Below are 25,074 nucleotides of genomic sequence, written 5' to 3' on the forward strand. Positions count from 1 at the left end.
TCTCAACACTTTAGGAGGCCAAGGCGGTTGGGTCATTTGAGGTCAGGAGTTCGAGACCAGCCTGGCCAACATGGCAAAACCCCATCTCTATTAAAAATACAAAAATTAGCTGGGCATGGTGGCGGGTGCCTGTAATCCCAGCTACCCAGGAGGCTGAGGCAGGAGAATCACTTGAACCTGGGATGTGGTTGCAATGAGCCAAGATCGTGCCACTGCACTCCAGCTTGGGTGACAGAGTAAGACTCCATCTCAAAAAAAAAAAAAGAGTAGGGATTTGGGTCTGTTTTGTACTATGCTAGATACCCAGCACCCATAACAGTGTCAGACACATAGGACATGTATTGAATGAATGAACTGATTTATAAGCAGAATATTTAAGACTGTTGAGAAGCCATACCCATTCTAATCAGGCAGAGCAGAAGGTTAAAAATCCACAACGCTTACTTTTGAGTTGTGTTGAAACCATTGAAAATATCTGTGTCAAACTGATTAATTACCTCGGTTTACAGAATCAGCTTTTTAACATACATAGCAAATTCTATATGCTAGCCAATGGCAAGCCAGATCTCAAGCAAGGCCATTCTTGTAAAATAAATGGACAGATTTTTGTCTTTTCTATTGTATAAGATTCTAAAGCCTTGAAAGCAGTAATATAGAATCTCCTTAAATACAAATTTAAGCATCTTTTCACGTTTATGGCCTCAGTGCCTGTTTATAAAAGTAGTTTTGTAAGAAAAACAGTGTAAGAAAAACATCTAAGAGTAGATGATAAAGACCTATCCTTGTGTGACCTTCAGATGGAAAAGCATAGATTTAATCTGAGATTCCAGAACCCACCTAGTTTTTAACTTCATTTGTTTGTCTAACTTAAGAACGTGAGTCACAACTAACAAAGACCATCTGGTGCTGTTCTTCCCTCCTAGGAGAATGTCTCCAGAAGTAAATAAAGGAGAATCTTGTCCATGCAAGCTACTCTCAGTTCCAATAGAAAACCATTTCAGCATCTAATTCAGAGAGTTGCACAGGAGATGGCCAAAGGCACTATCTGCCATATGTCTGCGTCTCCAGCCCAGCCATGACCCCAAACCAATAGATTTATTTTTAGGTAGTATCATGTAAACATAGAACTTTTTAAACTAGCAAGTTGGGGAAACTTCATGATTAGTCAATCTGCTAGCACATAGCAGAAGCTGGTGGGTGCCTTCCCAGCAGCCAGCTCCTCTTTCTCCTACCTCATAGCACCCCAGTTATTTTCAGGCATCTACCCTCCTCCACACAGCCAAGAACTTCAGGGAGGCTATTTCCTTCCCCAGGCCCAAGGAGCACAGCGTGGAAGGGGAAAGAGAGAGGTTCATGGACGGCTCTACCATGATGCCATGTGTCTGCTAGTAAACTTCTACTGACTGACTGAGCATGCCCCAGGTGAAATACCCTCCAGTACCTCCTTCTGTTTTTGGACTTACCTGTTGTCTTTCTCCAACCTGGAGACTCTCAACCCTTACTGCAAATTACTGCCACGTGGGGAGCTTTTAAAAACCTGCAGACACCCAAGTGCACCCAAGAGAGCCTGTTTCAATGGACCTATGCAAACAGGTTTTTTTTTTTCATTAAGTTCTCTGGGTGATTGTAATGTACAGCCAACAATGAGAAATGTTATACTAATTCCATTACTTTGACCCTGTCTTTGAGATGCTTTGGGAGAGCTTGGCGCTCAGGACCATCTTTGGGGATCTTTTCCATCATCCAGAGGGAAGCTGGATCTTAGAGTCTGGCCTCTCGGTTATGGGTCCTGATGTTTTTTCATTGTGTATGGTTTCCATGATCTGTCCTCTGCAATAAAACAGACATTGCTTTCTATATGTAATTCTACTCATCCTTTTGGGGTCTCTCTTCGTTACCATCTGCCCTTCCATCTTGCCATCTCACTCCTCACTCCCATGATTCTGGACCAAACTAACCAGCATTCCTAATCTAGTCTCTTCTTGAAAGGATTTGAAACGGGGAAGCAGCTCTTCAGGAAAGAAAATAAATAGAGCAAATGGGCCGGGCATGGTGGCTCACGCCTGTAATCCCAGCACTTTCGGAGGCCAAGGCGGGCGGATCATGAGGTCAGGAGATCGAGACCATCTTGGCCAACACGGTGAAACCCCGTCTCTACTAAAAATACAAAAATTAGCCGGGCATGGTGGTGGGCACCTGTAGTCCCAGCTACTCGGGAGGCTGAGGCAGGAGAATGGCGTGAATCAGGGAGATGGAGCTTGCAGTGAGCCGAGATCGTGCCACTGCTCTCCAGCCTGAGCGACAGAGCGAGACCCCGTCTCAAAAAAAAAAAAAAAATAGAGCAAATGGAATGAAGAACCTCTGTAGGGCTGTGTTGATTTAAGGCAGATGTGGGCCACAGTTTTGGTGTTCACACCCAGGTAAACAAGGCAGCTTCCTTCTGCTCATACACGTGCTCCCCTCTGGAAGAGCCAGGTTTGCAACGGGCTCGCAGTGGCTTTCTCATCCTGGCAGCATCCAGTTTCTTGTGGACGTTGCTGCATCCCAACCACCTAGCAGATTACACGAAGGAGTGAAATACCTACCACTGAAAAGAATGAACCCACAGAGAAGGGTGGCCTCACTGCTCCCAGGGGCTGCTGCAGTGGCCCGTGGGCAGCTAGACTGGCCTGCAGGGGACTGACCCTGGTGGACGCCTGAGTCTATGTGCCACCATCTACCCTGTGATAAGTGTAGCTCCGACATGATGTACCTTTGCCTGTTGATTTCCAAGGACAATTATTTTAGCATTTCAAAATTCAGCTCAAGTGCTGGACGACTTCTCCCTGAGTTTTGCTGTTTGCCAGCAGCCTCCTCTTGGCATGCTCCCTTTCCAACATCCTCACTGAACTTGTTACTATTACCACCATGTACTTAGAGAATGCAACTATCAAGTGCTATTGAACACACCTTGTTTTGTAAAAACCCTGTTGTAAATTGCCTCCTTATTCCTCTGTTCCATGGCCAGTCAAATCACACCCTCATGTAAATAGTGACAAAGACATATTACCCAACTTCAAATTCCAGACACCTGAGTCACAGGTGTTGTTACCACTACCCCAAACCACAAAGTGGGATTATGTGTCTCCTAGAACCGTATTATAATAGACACTCACTGTCTTGCAAATTGCTCCTAACTTGGGTAGAATATTTTGTATTTATTACTTTTGAAAATCTATGGGTTTCTATTGCCTGGAAACTCAAGGATTACAGCAGAATTAGAGAATCTGGTCTCTGGATCACAGATCCCCCCACTGCCCTGCACCGCCCCCACCCCTTTCTCATGGAGACCTAATCATCTCCACACTGGATCCACTCACATGGATCTTCTGACCTTGATCCAGAGTTTACAGGTAAAATGTCCACCTGAGGACACTGGTTTCTGTTTTGACAAAGGTAGTTAGGGCCTTGGAAAGTTGTGAAGGAATGGCATATCTCCCAGAACCCTGACTTCCATCAGCATCTTATTCCAGGAGCTCTGAGGAAACCTCTAAGGCACAAGTGTGGAAATAAAGACCACCCAGATGAGAACACGCAGAGGCTATTTATTCAGAGCTTGCTGTAGCAAGAGAGTCAGCCATCGTCACTTGTGCCTGGCAGAGACTCTGAGGCAAGCGGGGAGTGGGAAAGCTTTCAGGTGGAGAGAGGGGAAGGCTGGGGTGTGCCGGGGCTGGAGCTTGTTGGCCCGGGAAAGCTGGAGGAGGGCTGCCTGACACAGGAGGCATCCTGTGTGATTGGTGAGGGGATTATATTTGGCTCCCTCTGGTTGGCCTAAAGTTGGCAGCAGGGACAAAATTAGGGAATCTGGTATCAATTGATCATTTGGGGCCAGCTTCCTGGAATGTCTGCTGCAGATTGTGGGTCAGCGTGCTGTTGTCGCATATGGCCAAGCTGTTGTCTGTCTGTAGATTCCATCTCTTGGTGTTCAATAGGCCTTGGGGCCATGAACTTGTAGGGAGGGTTTTCTCAAGACCTGGGTTATGGAACCAGCATTGAGGTTCACAGAACTCACATCCACCCTCAAATCAGGGCTGGGTCACAGACAGTTTATTCAAGTGCTCCAGGCACCTGTCCCAGGGTCATTCTCCCTAGAAAGACCCAAACAAGCTGGGCGCGGTGGCTCACACCTGTAATCCCAGCACTGTGGGAGGCCGAGGCGGGTGGATCACAAGTTCAGGAGTTTGAGACCAGCCTGACCAACATGGTGAAATGGTGAAACCCCATCTCTACTAAAAATACAAAAATTAGCCGGGCATGGTGGCGCACACCTGTAATCCCAGCTACTCAGGAGGTTGAGGCAGGAGAATTGCTTGAATCTGGGAGGCGGAGCTTGCAGTGAGCCGAGATTGTGCCACTGTACTCCAGCCTAAGCGACAGAGCAAGACTCTGTCTGGAAAAAAAAAAAAAAAAAAAAAAAAGGCCCAAACCATCCCAGGGAATTCAGTTCAAGCCACTTCTCCCTCACTGTGTTCTCCATGCTGCTGCCTGGGGCTGCTGGCCCCCTCCCTGTCTGCAACGGACTCTGACCCCTGGACCAGGACACCCAGCAGGCTCCCCAGGACCACAGATTCTGTCTGACCTTGGGGATTCTCTGGTGTTTCTGAAAATTGCTGAAAGCTTCCAGTGGCCATTGCTATGTTATTTGCTAGTCGGCTAAAAAGTTAAACTCCATTTTTATATGGTCTAGATTAGAAGAGAGGAAGAAACACTCCAGAGGCATCAGAGGCTCAAGAAAATGCCTAGAATGAAGTTCAGACCATCAAGAAGTCCCCGGTGGCTCAGGCACATTCACTGTTTGTTCATTCCTCTGACAGTCACGGACAGCCCCCTGTGGACAAGGCATGGTGGCGGGCTGGGGACAGTCTTCTACTAGGAGGATGGGGAAGACCTGAGAACAGTGCAGGAACAGAAGGAACAAATGTGCGGGCTGTGGGTCACAGTATAATAGGAACACAGGACAGAGGCTGAAGATGGCCCCAGGATTTGAGTTACGAGGCCAGTGCTGTGCTATTAGCAACCAAGGGGACCTGGAAAGGATTGGAAGGGGAAGGTCTTGAGGAGAGGCTCCTGGTAGGTTTTTTCTGATCAATAGTCCCAAGGGTCAAAAATATCAACAGTGACAGTCAGTGCTGGGATCATTCTCCCTCACAGATCTGAACCCTTGAGTATGTTGATTTTAATGACAGGGACGTTCTTTATCCAGCCTTATGCCTGACCAACTCTGATTCATCCTTCAAGTGAGGAGATATCTCTTCACCCTCGAAGCTTTCCCTGATGCACACCCCCCGGGCCAGGGCCTGCCCCAGAGCTCCCCACTGCCACCATCACTTCCCCAGTGCAGGCCCTTACCCCCGTCTGGCCTGTTGGGCTTATTGACTGAGGCCCCCACCCTCCCCAGCCAGCAGCATGCCTGCCCCACAAAGCTATCCAGCAAATACAGATTGAGACACAAATGGATGAAAGACATGGAAGGAATGTATGGATGGAATGGAGGGATGGAGTGGACACATGGAATGGATGGATAGATGGAGTGGATGGATGGAGTGGATGGGTAGAATGGATGGATGGAGTGGATGGATGGAGTGGACGGATGGAGTGGACAGATGGAATGGGTGGATGGAGTGGATGGATGGAATGGATGGATGGAATGGATGGATGGAATGGATCGATGGAGTGGACGGATGGATGTAATGGATCAATGGAGTGGATGGATGGAGCAGACAGATGGAGCAGATGGATAGAGTGAACAGATGGAATGGATGGATGGAGTGGACAGATGGAATGGATGGATAGATGGAGTGGACGGATAGAGTGGAGGGATGGAGTGGACAGATGGATGGAGTGGACGGATGGAGCAGACGGGTGGAGCAGAGGGATGGAGTGGATGGATGAAGTGGACGGATGGAGTGGATGGATGGATGGAGTGGATGGATGGAGTGGATGGATGGAATGGATAGATGGAGTGCACGGATGGATAGAGTGGATGGATGGAGTGGATGGATGGAGTGGACGGATGAAGTGGACGGATGGAATGGACACATGGAGTGGACGGACGGAGTGGACGGATGGAATGGATGGATGGATGGATGGAGTAGATGGAGTGGATGGAGTGGACGGATGGAGTGGGTGAAGTGGATGGAGGGAATGGATGGATGGATGGATGGATGGAGTGGACGGATGGAATGGACAGATGGAGTTGATGGATGGAATGGATGGATGGATGGATGGAGTGGAGTGGACAGATGGAATGGACGGATAGAATGGATGGATGGAATGGATGGACGGATGGAGTGGCTGGATGGAATGGATGGATGGAATGGACGGATGGAGTGGATGGATGGAATGGACGGATGGAATTGGATGGAGTGGATGGATAGAGTGGATGGATAGAGTAGATGGATGGAATGAACGCATGGAATGAATGGATGGAATGGACAGATGGATGGAGTGGATGGATGGAATGGACGGATGGGATGGATGGAGTGGATGGATGGATAGATGGAGTGGACGGATGGAATGGACAGATGGAGTCAATGGATGGGATGGGTGGATGGATGGATGGAGTGGACAGATGGAATGGACGGATGGAATGGATGGATGGAATGGATGGACGGATGGAGTGGATGGATGGAATGGATGGATGGAGTGGATGGATGGAACAGATGGATGGAATGGATGGATGGATGGAGTGGACGGATGGAGTGGATGGATGGAGTGGATGGATGGAGTGGACGCATGGAATGGACGGATGGAATGGACGGATGGAATGGATGGATGGAGTGGAGGGATGGAGTGGATGGAGTGGACGGATGGAGTGGATGGATGGAATGGATGGATGGGATGGATGGAGTGGACGTATGGAATGGATGGATGGATGGATGGATAGATGGAGTGGACGGATGGAATGGACAGATGGAGTTGATGGATGGATGGATGGATGGAATGGATGGACGGATGGAGTGGATGGATGGAATGGACGGATGGAGTGGATGGATGGAATGGATGGATGGAATGGATGGATGGAATGGACGGATGGAGTCGATGGATGGAGTGGATGGATGGAATGGACGGATGGAGTGGATGGATGGAGTGGATGGATGGAATGGACGGATGGAGTGGATGGATGGAGTGGACGGATGGATTGGATGGATGGAGTGGATGGATGGAACGGACGGATGGATTGGATGGATGGAATGGACAGATGGAGTGGATGGATAGAATGGCCTCCTCTTTGTCTAAAACCCCCAGTAGCTACGAATTCCCCCAACAACTACTACACACTGCCCTGCACATGATCACGTTCGGTAAGTTGTGTGAGAGGGCAGGAGGGAGAAAATGGAGCTGCCTGCCTGCCTCACGAGCACCTTTCACCATTTTGATCACATTTCCAGATGCAGCACCACCCTCTGCTCTCACTTCTTTCCTCCCAGACCAGGGAAGCATTGGATGGTGGTTCATGAGGTGCTGGAGGAGCTAAAGAAATTGCTGTCATCGTTTTGTCAAATCCAGGGCCTTTATGTTTTAAAATAGATATACAAAGAGATCACATTTTACCTGGTAAAATCATGACAAACTGAGCGGACAAAAAAAAAAAAAAAACCTATAAACATTTGGCACAACAGAGCAAAAATCATAATTCCTATAATTATTTTTAAACTGTGAAACTATTGTAGAGCATTGAATAGATGTATATTAAAGCCATGTATGCTTTATTTGCTTATGACATGAAATTCTGGTTTCTGTGTGTTCCACCTTCCTATTTTATTCTTAGGATAATAGGATATGATGTGATGCTTTACTCATAGTTAGAGGGAGAATTGACTGTGAATGAGCAGTTCAGAGAGAAAGGATCTTGGGCTTGGCAAGGGCAGGGGCCTCCAGCGTTTTGAGAAAAATGAATTGAGCCTCAGCTTATTTTATAAAAATCTTGACCCAGAGCGTGGCCCTTCTGAACTCCCACCATGTTTATGCATGGTAATATATTAAAAATTGGACTTAGCTAGTAGCCAAATACAGTGCTGTGTTCTGGATACTAAAACAAACTAATTCTCCCTGCTAAGTAAGAAAAATTTCACACATTATCGTCAGTCAGACATGGAAAGAGGTTCTCCAGGGGAAGAGAGAGAAGCAACATCATTCATGTGATTTAAAATTACACCAGGCCATCCATTTATCTGCCTCTCAGGCTGTTTGTCCTTTTTTGAACGATGCTTCAGGGCTCCACGCTGGAAACGGGGAGGGTGGATGTAGAACAGCTTGTCAATGTAATCATTTTACTATAAATCTGCAAAAAAAGAAACAGAGCCTAAACCAAGTATAAAATAGGATCACAGAACCTCCTATGAGCAACTTTGTAAGATTATCCTTTCTAGTGTGAGTACTACCACAATAAACATGATGACATATCCTTTATCACTATGTTGCCCAAAGATTTTTTTTCAGATTTCAGTGGACTCCTCCCCTGCCACTCTTAACAGCCCTGCTCCTCCAAACATAGCTGTATGGAGAGAGATGTCCATCACAGGGATGTTTATACAAAAACATCAAAACACTCATTTTTTCAGGCTGGAAACGGTGGCTCACCCCCGTAATCCCAACACTTTGGGAGGACAAGGTAGGTGGATCACCTGAGGTCAGGAGTTCGAGACCAGCCTGGCCGACATGGCAAAACCCCGTCTCTACTAAAAATACAAAAATTAGCCAGGCATGGTGGCACACGCCTGTAATCCCAGCTACTCGGGAGGCTGAGGTGGGAGAATCACTTGAACCTGGGAGGCAGAGGTTGCGGTGAGCCGAGATTGCGCGACTGTGCTCCATCCTGGGTGACAGATCAGATTCCATCTCAGGAAAGGAAAAAAAAAACACTCATTTTTTAGGTGAAGTTAATTGACTGGGAGGACTTTATGGAACATTTTGGTTCTTTTCCTACTGCTGAAATTTGAATAGAAAGGCATGAGGTAACCTCATGCCATCACTACGAAAGGCTACCAGAAATGATAGAAAACCTCACACAGTATCAGCTACATTGGTGGAGTCCACCTGAATCCCAGAAATTCAGTTCAACAATGTCACTGAGTTCACCAGACTACTGGGAAAGGGATTCATGTAGAGACAGTTGTAAAAATATTGACCCTAACAGAGAAAGATTCACTGCAGTCAGAAGAGATGCCACGAAGTCAGGTCTCAACTCCTGGAGAGGCTCTTTCTGTGCTGTGCAAAAATGTATGTTTATCCGACTTCCCAGGCCTTGAGGTACAGCAAGGAATGCCAGTGTTGGATGTTCTACAAGTGAGGACACTGGAGCCTCAAGAAATAATCTGACTTGCACAACTCCTGTCACTGATTAGTGGCTAAGGACATCCTGATTTCTGCTCCAGAACTTTCCCCATGACATCAGTCTTCCCATCCTTGAAGAGTTTTCAGTTATTCTTAGCGTGACAAGTGATTGCTAGAGTTTGTGTAATTTTCATCATAATGGGACTAATGACCCACAACAGCAGTTCTAGTGACTTCCAGAAGATGTTGTACATCCCCATCCTAATGAATGGCAGCAGCATGACTTACGTTCTTTTATCAGAGAGTCTAGTTTGATCTGAGTTGTGTCTGACCTGGAATTCAGGCATGTCTGGGGCTAGGAAGGTTTTGGGTTCGAGGAGGCTGTTTTCATGAGGGATCCCAGGGTCTCTTGGGAAGGAATTCACTCAAGGGAGGACAGAGGCAAGAGAAGCACAGTTCACTCTCGGGGCTGAAGGCAGCATGGGTTTTAGGTGCAGCCTGGTGACAGTCAATCGGGTGGCCTACCATGTAGTGATTAAGACTTTGGAAAAGCAGGCTATAAGCAAAAATCTAAATTTGCTACACAATAACTTGGCAAGACAATGGAGCAGTGGCTGGCACCATGGACCTTGGTAAGAAACACTAGAAAAGTTAGGAAAAGGGGTTTTTCCAGGTCAGAGAGAGCCAGTGCATGCTGGTGGACCCACAGTTCTGTAGCTATGAGAAATAGCCCCATCTGGTTGTGCAGGAACCACAGGCTGCACTAGCTGCTTTAGTTGTGACCGCAGAAAGCACCCTGCCCCAGCATGGAGCACCAGGGCCTGCACACCTTTGCCAGGCCCCAGAAGCACTGCCACTGCCATGATACCCAAGAAGAGAGAGATTAGCAAGTGCTTTGTACCAGAGGGGAGGGCTGCCCATGCAAAGGCCTGCCTGGGGGAACTCCAGCAATCATTGGGGGAGACTTTGGGAGAGTGGAGAGAAGGGGCCTCCTGAAAAGACACAGCCAGGGGAAACCTACTTTCATGATATCAAGACTCTAATTTTAGAGGGCAGTGTTTGCAGATCCTACCAATGACTCTTTGTCCTTGAGTCTGTGTTTGAGGTGGAACCACTCAAAGACGGGGAAGATGAGGCACCTGGAGCCAGGCGCCTGGTCTTTGTGTCTGCACTTAGCCAAATTCCCTCTCAGCTGTATTGTGTCTGGAGGAAATAGAAGCATGACTAAGCTGATTTGTATTCTGCCAACCAAGGGAAAATATAATTAACACGGCAGCAAGACTCAGCAAACCCCATGGGAAAGTCCAAGAAGGAAAGAGCTCCCGTGGCTCAAGATGATGTCAGAGGCAAAGAGAGGCCAACCCACTCTAATCCCACAGCAGGTCTCCTCTCTAATACCTCAACTCATAAAGGGAAAAGACAATGAAATCCAGGCCTGCCATGCCTTTGAAAAGAACACACAGCCTCTAGGAGTGATTGCAGGGATTGAGCAGACTGTGATGGGGGTTTTCTCATGATGGGAGTCTCCTGCTGTTGCTGAGTGCTGCCAATCACTGCCCACACCTCCAGCAGGGAGGTGACTTCCTCAGGCTCTGCTACTCCACATCAACTGATTAACGCAGCTGTGATAGCACACCTAGCAGAGACAAGAGACTCCCAGACACTAGGCAGGAGTGAGACCAACTGCTGTATCAGATATACACCTAGCTTATAATTACGTGTCAAGAGAAGGAAGATTAGGCAGACATCAGTAACCGCAAGAACTGAAATGTGATGGCTGGTATCCATCTTCAGCCTGCTCCCCAGCTAATCATCCCCTAAAAGAAATGCGGGAGAAAGCTGCCTCCTAATACATTTCATTGGCCCTTCATCTCCGTCTGCTGACTCACATTTGAATTTAGAGACAATTTGCTAAACTTTCTAGATTTTTATTTACTTAACATTGCCTTAGCCTTTTTGATATATTCAACTATAGTATTCTCCAGGTTTAAATATTGTACGTTTTTTTTCACAACTTTAACAAATTAGTGCTCAGTTCTCCTGGCTTGAAATTCCCATATCTTTCATGAAGCTGTTGAAACTAAAAGGCTTAGGAGGAAGGTCACCCACCTCCCTCATTCTCCTTCCCTTCTTGCCCAGAGGAATTTATGTCTGTCTTCCTGCCCCAATATCTACATATCCAGCCATGACTACATTGTTTGGTTTAAGTAACTGCCTCTCATTACAGAACTAGATTCATTTATTCATTCATTCTACAAAAACTTGAAGAACATTTATGCTGGATTTGAATCCAGTGTCAGAATTGTCTTTGATTGGTTCTATCTTATTTCATAGATTTGGGGTTTGAATTTAATAGCTAAGCATATAAATATAATTTTATGCAAGATAGCACCTTAATTCTAGTCCTTATTTAATACAAATAGTGATATAATGAAATGATATAGTTTTATCTAGTTTCATCTAGAGAAATATGGAAGGAAAAATACAAATAGTTAAAAAAAGGAGGAAGGCTGAAAATATATAGCAGTTGATATGCTTCTCAGAGTCATCTTTTACTAATCAGTAGCAGTGGTGATGGTCTTTTAAAAAAAAAAAGTTTCGGTTGCTTTTAAAAAGAGATTTCCAGTGGGAAGCCTGTGAGTACTGACTGGCTCCTGTCTAACCTACACTTCCTGTTTGGTTGATGAAAAAGAAAAAAAAAAAAGCCAAAACTAAAAGGTACATTCCAGAACAAGTAGTCATTTTAACAACTGGCGGAGCCAAGAAAATGCGATCTAGTTTCCCTCTGTCCCCCAGTCTAGAGCCATTATTAAATAATTTAATGCCATAGAACTTATATCAAAAATAGACACATTCCTTAGGAAACATTTGAAACTTACTGGTTTTGACCTTAAAATGTAATCATTCATGAAGAGATCAATCTTTCATATGTTTTCAAATATGAAACACTCAAGTCCATTGTCAGAATCCCAATAGTGTGGAAAGAAACCTACCAGGGCAGGCTTATCTCTGCTCATTCTTTGCTAAAATATCCATTGCATTTGCTAACTGTGAAACGATGGGTAGGTTACTTCACTTCTCTGAGCATTGAAGATGCCCTGTCTACAAAGGATAACAGTCTCTCTCCCAGGGGTAGCTGTAATTGTGAAATTAGGCAACATATATAGGAAGGTGCCTAATGGAGTGGCAATCATTTATTCATTCATTCCCGAAATATTTATCGATTGGCCACAATGCCCAGGCACAGAGCAAGGTGCTAGTGATATCAACACGGGGGACACTTCACATTTCCCCCCATTCCTCCCTAACGGTGCAGCAGACACCCCACTAAAGCTGAGGAGGCCCCTGCTGCTCCCCCTCCCTCTCTGCTCCCTGAGTCTGTGAGAGGCATCGCTCCAGCCTCCCAAGAAAGCCCTCCCCCTGCACATCCAAGCAGCTCCCTCTTATCCTGATGCCCTGACCCGCCTGCCCACAAGGAGCCTCCTCCCTGAGCCGGGAGGACTTTCCTTCTCTCCTATGACAAGCCCTGGCCCTAGGCAGCTGAAAACAATCACCCAGGAAGCTCCTTCACCGTCAGATTCCCTGACAGCCCTGGATCTAGCGAGAATCAGGTGATTTCGATGTGAAACGAGGTTTGGGAACCACTGCTTTCAGTCACATTCTTTTTGTTTGATCTTCTCAGAATCAGCAGGCATTTCCCTCTGCTACTTTGTCCAAGATCCAACCCTTCTCATCTGCGTCTTGCCAGTCTCTCCACTTTAGAGCTTTGTTACCAGCTACTTCTAACCTCTTGCACAGAAATCTCTACTCACCACTGTGGAGAGTGAAAAAGGAATGGGTTTTTATGTATTTCTAGCCAGCTCTTGGCCCTGCGCCATGCAGAGTATATGCTGTACATTGGACTTTCGGGACACTTCTCTGTTAAATTCTAAGCCTTATGTCTGTGGTGTCTCCACAGTGAGTAAGCTCTTAATCACATTCCCTATTGTACCTTCTTAGATGAAAGAGCAATGGGTCAGGGGGACTTTTTAAATGTCCTTAAACTTGATTAGTTTAATCTTTATTATGGCTACAGAATGTTTCTTAAATTTACATACGATAAAATCCACTATTTTATATTAAGTAGAGTTATGAGTTTTGACAAACAAATATATTCAGGTAGCCACCACCATAATCAACACACAAAGCAATCCATTACCCCCAGATTTCCCTTACATCCTTTGTTGTCCCCCTCATCCTGTACTTCCAGCCCCTGAGAGCCACTTATCTGATTTCTGTCCCGACAGTTTGCCTTTTCCACAATGTCATGTTATATAAATGGAGACATACAATATGCTGATGTGAGCATTTAGAAAGATCATGTATTTAAACAATTATTAGAGTAAGGGCTGGCTATGGTGACTTAATTTTTTGGTTTCTGACACCTATAATCTGATTTGAAGTGTGTCATTCTGTGCATCATGATCCTTTTTGCAGAACCTGTGTCTATTAGAAAATCCAGATGAAGCAGGCTCTTCCTGTTGTCCTTCATTTGGAAAAGACAGAAGAACAGAGCGCTTTACGAAAGTCAAGTTACAGCTTCCTAATTTTCTCTCCCATGGACAAACTCTTCCCTCCCCCCACCCCGACCTAGCCTCTTACCCACTATCCTTTGCAAATTCCTATCTCTTATATTGCCCAGTAATTGGGGCGTGGGGGGGTGAGGGGGGGGTGAGTTACTGCTGATGAACCAGGAGGCAGAGCAAGGTTTATTTTGCTAAAGGCTTCAGCTGCTACTGCCTGGACCTCAATAAGCATTTTCTGCTCTTTCCTATCACTACTGTCTTCCCTTTCTTTGAGAAGCAACATAAAGATAAAAAGAAAAATACTTGATTTTGTAGCATGCCAGAATATTAAGATGCTCCTGAAAAGTGTGGGATTTAAGGCTTCTCAAAAAAGAGCAGAGGAGGGAGTGAGAGAAGAAGACGGAGAAGGAGGAGAAGGGGAAGAGAAAGGGGAGGTGGAAGAAGAAAAAACCACCATCAGAAACTGAGTATTACACAGGACGTAACCTGTGCTCTGAGAGTGAAGGAGGCCACACAGCAGTAGAACCCCGACAGGAAAATCAGAAAACATTATATTTTTTCCCAGATCCCAGAGTATCAGATGTTCCATTCAGAAATAATCCCTATTGACCCAGTCTCTGTGTCTCTCTCTCTGCCAATAGCATCAAGCACAGTAACCCTTTCCATGCTAATCCCGTTATTAATGCCATCCACAACAAGCGTAGTGTAAGTAAGACACGAAGTGTAAAAAAACTTTCTTCCCCGCAGTCCGGGCTCTCAGAGCCCTCCTTGTAGGTCAACAGTATCAAAGGTGCTTAACGCAGATACACCAGGAGGCTCAAAGCCCAAACATCGAAAAAAAAAAAAAGACCCACTCTTGTGCTGTGTGTATTGCCCACGGGTGGGAGGATGCAAGTACAATTACGTTTTTTAAAACTCCAGTCCAGATATTGGCTTTTCCTTGGATACTTTTGTGTGGCTCTCCCAGTACAGTCAGATCCGCCGCCGCAGCCTAGCGCTCCACCCCGGGTTTTGCGTCCTCCCCTCACCTGCCTTTCAGTGGTGCGGGGTTTGATCCCGAGAGCGGTGGACTCAAAGCTGCCCGCCGGGACTCGGGCTGCCGGCCGACAAAGGACGGTCCTCGGGGGTTCTGAAGTCTGACCCGGCCAGTGGGAAAGCCACCTGCATCACAAAGCGAGGGGCACACCTGAACCGGGGCTGGCGGGAAGAGGCAAGTATTGCGCGCGGGCTGGCTCCCACATGGAGCTGCCTCCCGGTGCAAGTGTTGCAAGGGTGCGCTGCTCCAGCCCGGGGAGCGCGGGAGGCGGCGGAGAGAGCGTCCGGGTGATGAGCGGGGCACTGTAACTGGATTTTAACACCTCTGCAAGCAGCGCTTTTGGTCAAAAAATTTCCGATTCTTGATCTTCTCTCTGCAAGGTCGGGGGTTCTTTGGGGAGTAAATCACAGCGTTTGGGTTTGCATTCGAAGCACTACCAAGTCTACTCCACAGGGTCACTGCACGGGGAGCAAGTAAAGGAAAACGAGGAGAATCTGAGAGTGCTCCTTCGTGCAGTGTGTGTGTGTGTGTGTGTGTGTGTGTGTGTGTGTAGGCAAAGCTGAGATTTACATGGTGTGAACTGTTAAATGTTAACAGTTAAATCCCACACTTTTCAGGAGCATCTTAATATTCTGGCATGCTATAAAATTTTTGAGACTTGTTTAAAGAAGGGGACTTCCTTTTTAATTTAGAACAAATTAGTAGTTGTTATAACATTATAGATACTAATCAGTAACAATACTAGTAGGTAATGCTTTCTGTAAGTAGACACACCCCAAAAGTATCTGAAAAGTATCACCAAAACGGAGCGTGCTTTCACACTCCTGCAAAACAAATTAGCCCTTAAACAGAATAATTAACATCCCGAGGGAAGATAAAGCATATAGGTTCCTTGAATCATTACGTTACATTTAAAGTCGGTCCTGTTCAGTTTGCCTTTGTCCCTAAGGAGTAAAAATAGCATCAAATTGCTTGTTTGGTTTTCCCCTTTTGAAACTCAGCATAGTGTTTGGTTATCCATGAAGGTGGCTTTAATATTTCACCCTCATATTTGGCAGACAGTTCTGGACTTGCTCCTCTCCCCGTAGGGACTGAGTCCCACTGGCAGTGTGTGGAGAATAGAATTGATTCTCGCTTTTTCTTTGCATAATACCTAATCATCACCATTAGCACTTCAGACGTTCACAGCTTTCTGAATAGGTGTCATTTCTTCCACATACCCTATTGATTTGCATCATTAACAATTGAAAGGAAGCTCTTCTTTTGATTAAGAAGCCAAACAATTAGGAAAGCGTGGATTCTTTCATAGTATTTATTGAGAGGCGTCTCCACCTGATCTAGGCTGTGTTTAATGGGATGAGAGAGACTAAGAGAGAACAGAAAGTGTAATTACCGCCTCTCCAGGCCCGTCTTTACTTTTTCCAGAAACAGAGAATTATGAAATTATTTGTAATGTTACAAGGACCCTTGGAGCTCTTCTAGTGCAAGTCAAGTTTATTTCACAAACGGGAGGTCTAGACAGCCTTTGTTTCTTCTGAACGGGTCTGCAAGGCCAAGATCTGGATTCTGACCCACAGCGACTGCTGATCCAGGAATTCCATGCACATATGCTATGCACTTAGCGCTGATTGTGAAGAAACACCAAGGTGGCCCGTCAAGACCTGAACTACCACAGGTCTAACTTGGGAAAGCCTCATTCCTCACGTTCTTTCCGCTTCTACTGTAATGGTACTGTGCCTCTTGCCAGCCCACACTTATTCATTTGAAATGTGCACTTTGGAAGTTCACTGCATTTAATCGATTCAGAGGATTTCTTTTTTTTTTAATTTTTTTTTTAATCAGTAGCTGAGCTATACTACCTAGTTCTAATCCGTAATAGTGTGTTAAAAGACTGTTTTCTGTGTAGTTGCTGGCTGTTATTTAAATCCCAAGGCTGCTGAAAGTTGGTAATAGAACCAATAATAGCAACCATTACTCAAAAGTCTATTGCTTACTATTAACTATAATAATTAACTATTAAGTATTGATATTGTCCCCATCAATTTTTAGGCGTTACCTAACATTATCCCCATTTTACAGATCAGAAAACGGAGGCTTCAGAAAGGTGAAGTTACTAGCCCAATGTCACTCACCTTCTAAGGTGGGGAGCAGAAGCCAGGTTGGTCTGACCCCTAAGCTCATGGTCTTTCTATACTACCTTAGTAGTATAGAAATGTTCTAACTTTCACATTCCCGGATGTCTGAGCTCAAGACAAATTTTAAATAAATTAGCGTGGCTTTGATGTTCTCTCACTAGTGAAAGGGTCTATAACACTTTAGGCAAAATGCATTGAAATTATGTTAAACCTTCATACACTGCCAATAAGCAATGACTTCCCAGAAACCATACTCCACATTTGACCCAGTCTCTAATTTAGTGAGAAGGTGAGATGCATGGAAAGAAGGCAAAGGAGAGTGACTAGTGACCCCCAGAAAAGGGAATCTCTTCCCGAGGTTTGTGTTGTGCCCTGTGGAGCTGAGAGGAGAGTAGGGAATTGATGGAGCAGAGGCTTAGCCAACGCATCTGAAAGAGAAGAGTGTTTTATGTCTTTAATTTCTTCTTGTCAGAATCAACCAAGCCCAGAGCTATTTACGTGTTGAGAAGGGTCTCCCATGGAGAGGCCTTCCCAGTGGCCCTTCTACTCTCTGCTGCGGTGGTTTATCATGTCTTCAAAACAGACTCGCCACCAGGCTTCCAACAGGATAATACAAATGTGAAATTTTTGTCCTCAATAAAGAGTCAGAAATGATGACCATTCTGCCACTTTCATCATTTTAAAATCTGTATTCCTGAAAACTGGCCTCGAATTTATTTCTGTATAGTCCAAGGTATTGATTTGAAAGTGAGAGGCTAGCATGAAAGCCAACACTTCTCAACTTTAAAAAAAAATGCCTTAATATTTAGTATTTTCTCATTCTAATGTATCCTGTAAGTGTTCTTTCTGTACTTCTTGTTAAGGCATGGCTGTGTAAACTTCAGAGGGTTTTGGGAACAGCCTCCATTGTCATCCACTTTTCATTCTAAAATCTTGGTATATCTGTGCATACATGCACAAGGCCTCCCATGATTGCACTGCTTTTACGAATAATCATAGTCAAAATTCATTTTTTAATACTGCTAGCTCAATTTTTATTTCTTATTCCTTTGAAATTGATCATCATTTGGACAGGGACTGCATTAAAGCTCAACACTGACCTTCATTGTGGCCACAGGAAGAAAAGATCTGCTAAATGAACAAATACTGTGATCGATATTGTGCAATGGCTTGAGGGAAAAAGGAGGTTTTAACCACTTAAAGTAAGCCCTTTTAGAAACAAAAACTATTTCAGTGAAAATGCTAATCCTACACCTCTCCAAAGTAAATGTGCTTAGAGGACACCAGCCAGAGTTTCTTTACAATGGGAAGTTGCCTTCCAACAAGAAAGGGTTTTCAAAGTGCAGAAGAAAACTTTATCTGGAAAAGGTGAGAAGCAGAGAGCCTCCAGGCTCCAGCCCCACACACTCTCATCTTCAATTAATACTCCACAAAGGGAAAGTTCCATTGTGGGCCACAGCACTCCCTGCTTGAGAACCTGTAGGGACTTAACCGCTGGGTTTATCCAATGAAGTGTCTGAGGTCCCCGCTGTTTAGCTTGGCCCTCCACTCTCTGTTCCCAATTTCGTAACCACTACCTCAGCCAGTCTCCCCAGCAGAGCACTTTTATCTTATAGCCATGAGGCATCTGTGACATGTCCCACAACACATCACAAACTCTATTTGTCCTCCAATGCTCAGTGACCTTATTTTCCCAGGCAAAAGTGGCTCCCGTCCCGGTGCCCACTAAGCCTTGATACCAGCCCACAGTACAGTGCTTCTCAGACTAGGTCGTCTCAGCATTTGTCAATGTATTTTATTTATGTTTCGACGTCCAGTCTGTTCATCTTCAGTACAGGACTGGGTCATACTCATCTTTCCATCCTTTCCCTTGTCCACCTTCCTTTCTTCGATTTGAATATTTTCTGTAGTTGCTCCATTAATCAGTAATTAATTAATTGCAGAAATGTATTTCCCAAGATGTAGATAAGTCACACCTCAGAATGCTACAAACATTTGTAGATGTGACTGATCAGTAATTGTCAGGAGACTTTGTCAATCTGGAGAGGTGCTGAAAAACAGAGACAAGAAAATGTCAACTTTCAAAAATACTCATTTAAAAAAGTAGTTTCCAAGAAAAGCGTAGACTGGCAAAAGGATGATTGACAAAATTCTGGACTAGATTACTAAATAGGTGATATGTGAGAATTTAGAGGAGAATCGTGTGATTTGCATAATCCAACATGAGTTCCCCGGAATCAAGCCATCCCATGTGAACCATATATCTCTTTTATATATAGGTTCTGAAACTGGTGAAATGGGGACCACTTGAGGTTAGAGATTCGTAATTCAGTGTTGCCTCTGATCAGCCTGGAATTGTAGTTTATATGCCAGCAACTGCATGTAGCCTGAGGGCTCCCATGACTGGGCTACAGCCAATTGATCACAATCTAATGATACCCCTAGGAGTGCCTTGGGTGAGAGCGTTGTCCGGGGCAAACCTTATGAAACTTTGTCAGATGGTCTTCACACAGCATTTCTTGATTTTAGCAGAGCCTTTGACTCAGTCTCTCCTAGCAGATTTTTTCACTTACTCCACAGATATTTATTTAGGTGTTTATTCAGTGTCAAGCATTGTATTAGGTGTTCAGTGTTTGTGGCTCAGAAGCAAATTCTGACTTAGTTGATAATATGGAGAGCAAAACCGAGTCAAAAATTGATTGCCTGAAATTATCTTTGGAACTGCAGGAAGTCAATCGATTGATGAATTCATGTGTGTCCGGGTCTCTGGGGTACACTGTGTGCTCCCCCATTCACTCCAGTCCCTGCTCAGAGTCCTTCTCCAATCACCTCCTCTATAAAAGCACCTTGCCCCATCATTTCCTATTCCCTCATGCTGTTTTATTTTTCATCTTTGCACATTTTATTCTCTGCAATGATCTTATTCACACAAGCAGTCCTGTAGTTGCCTGCTCTCTGCCCCCTTGCTTGGAATGTGGTATGAATCTAGGGAGGCATTTCACAGGGCTGGGTCTTTTGTTCCTTGCCGTCCATTCAATATGTCTATCAGTGACAATTGTTGTCATTCCTGCTAATCTAATTTGCAGATGATAGAAAGTGAGGAGGCAGAGCTGGCATGGTAAATAAGGGGATCAAAATGTACATCAGCAGCATATGTGAAAGCACTTTGATAATTGAAGAATTATAATTAAATGCAAGTTATCATTTTTTAAGTGCGTATAAATCTAAGCCAAAACCAATAAAATGAAAGTATCAAGGTTAAATATAAGCTCATGCATTTAGGTTCAAAAAATCAATTACACAAATTCAAAATAAAGGAGACCTAAGAGGGCAGCACAGTCCATGCCGCGATTTAGCCATGAGCTGGGCGACTCTAGGGCTGCAACACAGTCCCCGAGTGGTGGAGCCATGGCTGGAAATTCTTCGAATGTTATCAGTTAGGAGGGCCACATGGTGAGGTGGACATTACCAAGCCCGAGTGTGGCCAGTGGAGGGTCACTCAGAACAGCAGCAGGAATTGGGACGTTTAGCCTGAAGGAGAGGGGACTTAGGGAGGTGGGGACCCATCTTTAACTCTCTGCGGGGTTCACATGGAGGAGACGGGCATGTGTGTGCTGAGTGCTAAGTTAGAACCTCTGGGTCCTGGGGGGCAGACTTTCATTCAAGGTACGGAGAATGATGGGAGCCCAGGGCCAGAAGCCTATAACCCACAGCATCTGGACGAATACTGAGCGCTGTCACTAGATTCTATTTTTATTTGTTTGTTTGTTTGTTTGTTTATTTTTTGAGACAGAGCCTTGCTCTGTCACCCAGGCTGGAGTACAGTGACGCAATCTCAGCTCACTGCAACCTCTGCCTCCCAGGTTCAAGCAATTCTCCTGCCTCAGCCTCCTGAGTAGCTGGGACTACAGGCACCCGCCACCATGCCCGACTCATTTTTTGTATTTTTACTATTTTACTCTACTATTTTAGAAGAGATGGGGTTTCGCTATGTTGGCCAGGCTGGTCTCGAACCCCTGACCTCGTGATTCGCCCATCTCGGCCTCCCAAAGTGCTGGGATTACAGGCGTGAGCCACCGTGCCCGGCCGTCACTAGATATTTAAAGAGAAACTGGACAACTGTGGGGCAGAGGCCAGCTCTTAAGAGGGATCCTGGCTTTGGGTTGGATCTTCAATTGTCTTTGTTCTTTGTCTTTCCAAGTCTAACATTCTTATCTGTTCTAAACTTCCGTATTTTTATTTGTTCTGACTGATTTTTTTTTCTTGGTGTGACATTTGATGTAAATAGTACTTAGCAGGCTTAGCAACTCCTATATGAAAGTGCTTTGAAATTTGCTGGGCTTTGGAATCTCTGTTGTTTTTGCCCATTAAGTAATTCCCTCCCATCCCTCTTCAATGTTCCCCTTTCCCTATCAACCAGCCCTTTCTGCAGGTTGGAGTTTGATAGACTTGGCACTTGGCACACCCCCTGAGCGCCAGTGTCACCCTCTGCGTTGTGAATTTATAGATGGAGACCCCTTCATCCTTTTACAGTCGTGCTCTGATCCTGGGGTCCCTGAGGTCCAGAGCAGAACCTGAACTCTGAGTATCAGGCAAGCGCATCTTACTTCAAAAAATGGGAAGAACAATTTAAAAATGCAACTTGGATATGTTTTTATAAGATATTCCCGCTTTCTGTTTTCTACACTTATTTAGCATTTTAACATTTTCAGAATACGTGAAAATTAGATTTAGTTTCTTTTTTAAATGTGAAATATAAGAAAATTATGATTACCCGTAACACATTTGTGATTAAAAGTACATTTTTTAGGAAAAAAGTATTGTTTCCAGGGAACAATTTTCTATTAAGTTGGTGCAGTAATGATTGCGATTTTTGCCATTGAAAGTAATGCTTAGGCCGGGTGCGGTGGCTCATGCCTTTAATCCCAGCACTTTGGGAGGCCAAGGCAGGCGGATCACCTGAGGTCAGGAGTTCGAGACCAGCCCGGCCAACATGGTGAAACCCCATCTCTACTAAAAATACAAAAATTAGCCAGGTGTGGTGGCAGGCACCTATAATCCCAGCTACCTGGGAGGCTGAGGCAGGAGAATTGCTTGAACCTGGGAGGCGGAGGTTGCAGTTAGCCAAGACCGAGCCATTGCACTCCAGCCTGGGCAACAAGAGTGAAACTCCATCTTTAAAAAAAAAAAAAAAAAAAAAAAAATTAATGGTTAAAACCACAATTACTTTTGCACCAACCTAATACTTAGAAAGATGCAATAATACTAGATGGTTACCTTTAACTTACAGGTTTCGGGTTTCACAGAAACAACAGCAAACCCAATAGTGCTTCACTCAGTTTCCCTCCCAAAGACAGCAAAGAGAGAAAATTAACTACCTGGCCAGGCGCAGTGGCTCACGCCTGTAATCCCAGCACTTTGGGAGGCCGAGGCTGGAGGATCACCTGAGGTCAGGAGTTTGAGACCAGCCTGGCCAACATGGTGAAACCCCGTCTCTACTAAAAATACAAAAATTAGCCAGGCATGGTGGTGGGTGCCTGTAATCCCAGCTACTTGGGAGGCTGAGGCAGGAGAATCGCCTGAACCCGGGAAGTGGAGATTACAGTGAGCTGAGATTGCACCACTACACTTCAGCCTGGGTGACAGAGTGAGACTCCGTCTCAAAAAAAAAAAAAAGAGAAAACAAAAAACCAACTATCTAAGGCAGAATGGTAATAAACTGCCCAGTAATGCTTTCAGGGATAATTAAATGAGTGATGAGGGCACAATTACAAATAAGCTAACCCGAGTTACTTGGAAAGCAGATGGAAGCACCCAAGACCATACAACAAGAATGAAACCCCAGAACAGTAAACACACGGTATTCCTACCATATATGCCCCCCATCGGTGTCACCTAAACCAACATCTCTTTGACCTTTTTTTTACTCATGTGACCAGTTATTTGATTGTTTGGCTGTCAAAGTCACACCAAGATAATAAATTAGGCCTTTCAGAGCCAAAATTATATTATCTAGGGTATTACAGTGAATATAGAGTTAAATAATTTTAGTGTCCTGAAAACATTACAAAACACATATCAGAAATAAGAGCCATTCTATGTAGTGAATCGGGGGAGAAATGAGAGAAGCTCAGAGACCAACATAGAGAAAAGCAGGAGAAAGCAGAAAGCACTGGAAACAAACATGTCTGCTTGTTGGTGGTGGGCGATGGATACAAAGATACCCAGCCAGAATCCCCCTGGAACAAGCCAGGCATTAAATCTTTACAGCTGGAGTTGCATTAAATCTTTACAGCTCTAAGCTGCTTGCTGCAAACATCCTGTAGTTCTCGTCAATTCAAACTCATCCCCAACTTTCTTTTTTTTTCTACCTTACTCAGTGCGTCTGTGTCTGGGTGAACTTCAGAAATCTCTCTCTTACGTTTTCTTGCAAGACTCTTTGGCTAGTTTTATCTGAAAGTTTGTTTGTTTTTCCAGCTAGTAGTTCTTCCCCCTCTTCCCTAAGCTCTTGAAGTCTAACACTGTTTCTCTGGTCAGAGGGATCAGACAAAGAGAGCTCTGCTCCCGGCCACCCATCCGTCTCATTGATTCAAGCCACTGGGTCTGAGTGGGCCCCATCAGAGGGTGTGATGGGTTCCAGACAACCTGGACGTGCTTTTAGAAAGCAGTCAAGAGTAAATCCATAAAGCCTTATCTTTGTGTTGGAGGGGACCACATTATAAGCAAATCGTACATTTTCTTCCAATACAAAGTAAGATAGTTTCCTGCATTATTAGTGGATATTTTTGCAAGGACATATTTAAAAATATATATTGCCCAATAACCCATCATTCAGTTTAATTCCACATCCCTGCTGGGTGCCTTCCAGTCTACCTTGGGCAACTTAACATAAATATGGAAAATATAGTTTGTGTTTATGGAGCTCATCGCCCTATGAGAGAGGCCAGGCCCTCACGGAGGACGAGGTGACAGCGTGGGCACAGCCAGCTCTTGAAGAATATCATAGGTGATGAATGCTCTAGAGATCCCAAGGCCAAAGCGGCTCAGGCACACGTCATTCATTTGTTTGTAAGCACCGTCAAGGCAAAGAGACCAGGCATCTGTCTTTCATACCCCAGCCACACCCCCTGAAGCAGAGTAGATAATAGATGCTTACAAGACAGCGAGTGATTTCATCTCAGTATGTATGAACAGCTTCAATCACACAGATTTTGGGCAGATTCACTACCTAATCGGATGCGAGACTTTTCATTTCTTCTGACCTATATTAGTAAACAGCAATATAATCTTTTCTAATTACAGACACATAAAATGATTGATAAAATCCAACAATTGTATGACCCCTCCACAAAGCATTTTTTACATTCAAGCCTCACACCAGCCCCTGGAAATAGATATTATTTTTAATCTTAATTCATCCAGCATTGTGCTGGGTGCTGGGGATAGATAGGCCAGGGAAGAAAGATTCGAAGCCCCTGCTTTTATGGAGCTGACTTGCTGGTGAGAAAAAAATAAATAAATAAAACAGCAAACAAGAACAAACAAATACATCAATAATTTAAGTCATTGTTAAATACGATGAAAAAAATGGTAGTATGATAGAGAGTGATCAAGGGAGGAAGTGAGATCTCTAGAGTGGATTTGAAGGAACCAGATCTAAAGACAGGGGGTTCCAGTTAAAGGTATAATAGGAGTGTCCAACCTTTCGGCTTTCCTGGGCCACATTGGAAGAAGAATTGTTTTGGGCCACACGTAAAACACACTAACACTAACGGTAGCTAATGAGCTTTAAAAATTGCAAAAAAAATCTCTCTTTTTTTTTTTTGAGACAGAGTCTCACTCTGTCGCCCGGGCTGGAGTGCAGTGGCGCTATCTCGGCTCACTGCAAGCTTTGCCTCCCAGGTTCACGCCATTCTCCTGCCTCAGTCTCCCGAGTAGCTGGGACTACAGGCACCCGTCACCATGCCCGGCTAATTTTTTGTATTTTTAGTAGAGATGGGGTTTCACTGCGTTAGACAGGATG

General features: G+C 44.8%; 1 protein-coding gene across 1 annotated transcript in view, besides 4 other annotated features; it reads left to right on the plus strand.

The window, feature by feature from the left end:
• CNTNAP2 (contactin associated protein 2) overlaps nucleotides 1-25,074 on the plus strand; it is a 2,304,198-nt gene that overhangs the window by 2,207,743 nt on the left and 71,381 nt on the right. The window lies entirely within an intron of this gene.
• Nucleotides 3,074-3,650: an enhancer, noted in NCBI's record as "H3K27ac-H3K4me1 hESC enhancer chr7:148024709-148025285 (GRCh37/hg19 assembly coordinates)". NCBI's record gives its function as "activates a minimal SCP1, AML or CMV promoter by ChIP-STARR-seq in naive H9 embryonic stem cells {active_cell/tissue: H9 hESC(naive)}" and the evidence as "EXISTENCE:reporter gene assay evidence [ECO:0000049][PMID:30033119]".
• Nucleotides 10,503-11,408: an enhancer, noted in NCBI's record as "OCT4-NANOG-H3K27ac-H3K4me1 hESC enhancer chr7:148032138-148033043 (GRCh37/hg19 assembly coordinates)". NCBI's record gives its function as "activates a minimal SCP1, AML or CMV promoter by ChIP-STARR-seq in primed H9 embryonic stem cells {active_cell/tissue: H9 hESC(primed)}" and the evidence as "EXISTENCE:reporter gene assay evidence [ECO:0000049][PMID:30033119]".
• Nucleotides 14,680-15,210: an enhancer, noted in NCBI's record as "H3K27ac hESC enhancer chr7:148036315-148036845 (GRCh37/hg19 assembly coordinates)". NCBI's record gives its function as "activates a minimal SCP1, AML or CMV promoter by ChIP-STARR-seq in primed H9 embryonic stem cells {active_cell/tissue: H9 hESC(primed)}" and the evidence as "EXISTENCE:reporter gene assay evidence [ECO:0000049][PMID:30033119]".
• Nucleotides 15,830-16,435: an enhancer, noted in NCBI's record as "NANOG-H3K27ac hESC enhancer chr7:148037465-148038070 (GRCh37/hg19 assembly coordinates)". NCBI's record gives its function as "activates a minimal SCP1, AML or CMV promoter by ChIP-STARR-seq in naive H9 embryonic stem cells {active_cell/tissue: H9 hESC(naive)}" and the evidence as "EXISTENCE:reporter gene assay evidence [ECO:0000049][PMID:30033119]".

Source organism: Homo sapiens, chromosome 7 (genome assembly GCF_000001405.40).
Source record: "Homo sapiens chromosome 7, GRCh38.p14 Primary Assembly".
Lineage (NCBI taxonomy): Eukaryota > Metazoa > Chordata > Mammalia > Primates > Hominidae > Homo > Homo sapiens.